This window comes from Homo sapiens, chromosome 6 (assembly GCF_000001405.40).
Source record: "Homo sapiens chromosome 6, GRCh38.p14 Primary Assembly".
In the NCBI taxonomy this organism is placed as follows: Eukaryota; Metazoa; Chordata; class Mammalia; order Primates; family Hominidae; genus Homo; species Homo sapiens.
The window spans coordinates 137,954,779-137,957,469 of record NC_000006.12 but is presented as its reverse complement, the minus strand read 5'-3'; the positions used below and the strand labels follow the sequence as shown (position 1 = coordinate 137,957,469).

The following is a 2,691-nucleotide window of genomic DNA, read 5'->3' as shown; positions in this document are numbered from 1 at the left end:
TGCGGCTTCTCTTCCTAAAAAGCTTTGGTGGAGAGATGAACATGGATCTTGTCCACTTTGTTAACTGCTAGATTCCTTGTGGTCAGAATAGTGCACATGATAAGCCCTTAATAAATATTTGTTGAATGAACAAATTAATAAGATACGGTCAAGCCTCTATATTTCTTTTGCTGTTTCTTAAGTTGCAATTTGTATTTACAGCATTGGCTGAAGTATAGGTTCAGTTTACATGGGTTCATCCTCATTGCAATAATTAAGAAATGTATGACAGTAATGAATTAAGAAAATGACTTTCGAGTTTCCTCTCTACTCATAGCTATTTAATATTAAATAACCTTGTGTTCTCACAGAATAATGATAATGATAAAAAATACATAAAAAATAGAGTAAAGCCAAAAACCTCAAACAGTTCCAGATGTTAAACATTTAGCAGCACAGAGAAAGAGAGGAAAAATTAGGGTGGAAAAGAAAGGAAAAATTAGGGTAGGAAAGAATGGGTGGGTTTGGTTTGTACCTGAGGGTAGTTTGGTTTTTTTGCTTGCTGTGAAGACCCTACTTTATATGATGTAGACTTTGATTTCTAGCAATATATTTGTTTTAGCCCAGTTATAAAATCTATTTTTAAAAGTAAACAACATCTGCAAAGTAGTAGATGGAAAACAGTTCAAAGCAGAAACATTTTTTGTTAATGAGTACAAAAATAGATACAAAGAATAGGAATCTAGTATTTGATAACACAACAGGGTGACTACAGTCTGCAATAATTCGTGTACATTTTAGAATAACTGAAGGAGTACAATTGGAATGTTCATAACACAAAGGAATGATGAATGGTTGAGGTGATGGATGCCCTGTAATTTACCAGGAGGTGATTATTATACATTGTCTGCCTGTATCAAAATATCTCATGTACCCCATAAACATATATACCTACTATGTACCCATAAAAATTAAAAATAAAAAAATTTTAAAAAGAAGGAAAGAAAAATACCTTGGTCAAAGATTTGGAGTTAAAAATACTAAATTTTAAAATAAAATTTTGTTAGGTTCGAAAATATTTGTCACCAAAGCAATAATATTAATGTAGCCCACATTTACTGCGTAAATTTTAAAAACTAAAAGATGAGCATAAAACAACTAGGCATTTAACTGAAGATTCTAGAGGAAAAAAAGCAAAAAACAATAGGAAGAAGAAATAAATAAAAATAAATGTGAAAATTAATGAATTTAAAAGCAAGTACACAAACTTGAAGGTAAAAGTTAATAAGTTTGAATACATCAAAATGAAAGATGTCTGTTAAGTAAAAGATTCTCAAAAAAGTTAAGGCATACACAATATATTAAGATATTTGCAATATTTATAACTAACAAGTAATATCTAGAAAATACAAGGAACTTCTCGGTGGCTCACGCCTGTAATCCAAGCACTTTGGGAGGCCGAGGCAGGCAGATCACGAGGTCAGGAGATCACGACCATCCTGGCTAACACGGTGAAACCCCGTCTCTACTAAAAACACAAAAAAATTAGCTGGGCCTGGTGGTCAGCGCCTGTAGTCCCAGCTACTTGGGAGGCTGAGGCAGGACAATGGCGTGAACCCGGGAGGCGGAGCTTGCAGTGAGCTGAGATCGCGCCACTGCACTCCAGCCTAAGCGAAAGAGCAAGACTCCGTCTCAAAAAAAAAAAAAAAAAGAAAAAAGAAAATACAAAGAACTTCTTCAAATGAACAACAATATCAACTATCACCACACCAAGTACCAAGTGAAACACTCTGGAAGAAAATGAGGAGCAGATTCCAAAAAGTAGGAAGCGGCATGGATAGCAAGCAAGCACATCAATAGATGGTCAACCACATAATAATCAGAGCGCTTCACAGGAAAGCGCAGGTTCTTAGACCTGGCCGGTAAGCTTTGATATGCAAATGAAGGCCATTAGAAACTGGGTCCACCCAAACATGGCGATTCCCGCCCTCTTCTTCTTGCCCTGGCCTCACACATGCCTGGCAACATGGCCACCCCCATGTATCTCCACGTGTGTAGAACAGCGTGGCACCCTGCATTGGCATATTAAAAGGCTAGGTGGGAGGTCCAGTTTTTTTCCACGGGCTATGTGAGTGACATGCCTGGTCAAACCAATCCCCTGAGCCCTATGCAAATCAGACACCACCTCCTCCAGCCACCTCATATAAGCAGCCACTTTTCCAAGGCACACAGGGTTTCCTCACTTGGCTTTGGAACTGCCCCTCCCTGGGTCTCTGTATGGGGGAGCTTCTTCCTTCTTTCTTGCCTATTAAACTCTCTGCTCCTTAAAACCACCACCAAAAACAAAAACAAAAACAAATAGTGCCTCAATGAAAATGGGAAACCATTTTATCCCCGTCATAGTAAATAATGAGAAAATCTGATATTACCATATGTTAGCAGGGTTTTGAAGAAAATTACAATCTTCTTGCACCGCAGGTGAAAAATGTAAAATGATACAGCCAATCTGGAGAGCAACCTGGGAATAATTGGAGAAATGGCACGTGTGTGCACACAACAAGCTGGCAGTAGTTCTTCCCAGTATAACCCATGGCTAGTGAGTAGAATTTTGGTTTTTAAGGGAAAATTGCTATCAAGTCCCCAAACAAGGGTGAACTTGGCAACAATCTTTACACGGGATTTGTTTTGTTATGCAGTCTAGGTAGTTGACAC

The 2,691-nt window shown here is 37.9% G+C and overlaps 1 annotated feature.

Moving 5' to 3' along the window:
* Positions 1,604-2,105: an enhancer, noted in NCBI's record as "NANOG hESC enhancer chr6:138276502-138277003 (GRCh37/hg19 assembly coordinates)". NCBI's record gives its function as "activates a minimal SCP1, AML or CMV promoter by ChIP-STARR-seq in primed H9 embryonic stem cells {active_cell/tissue: H9 hESC(primed)}" and the evidence as "EXISTENCE:reporter gene assay evidence [ECO:0000049][PMID:30033119]".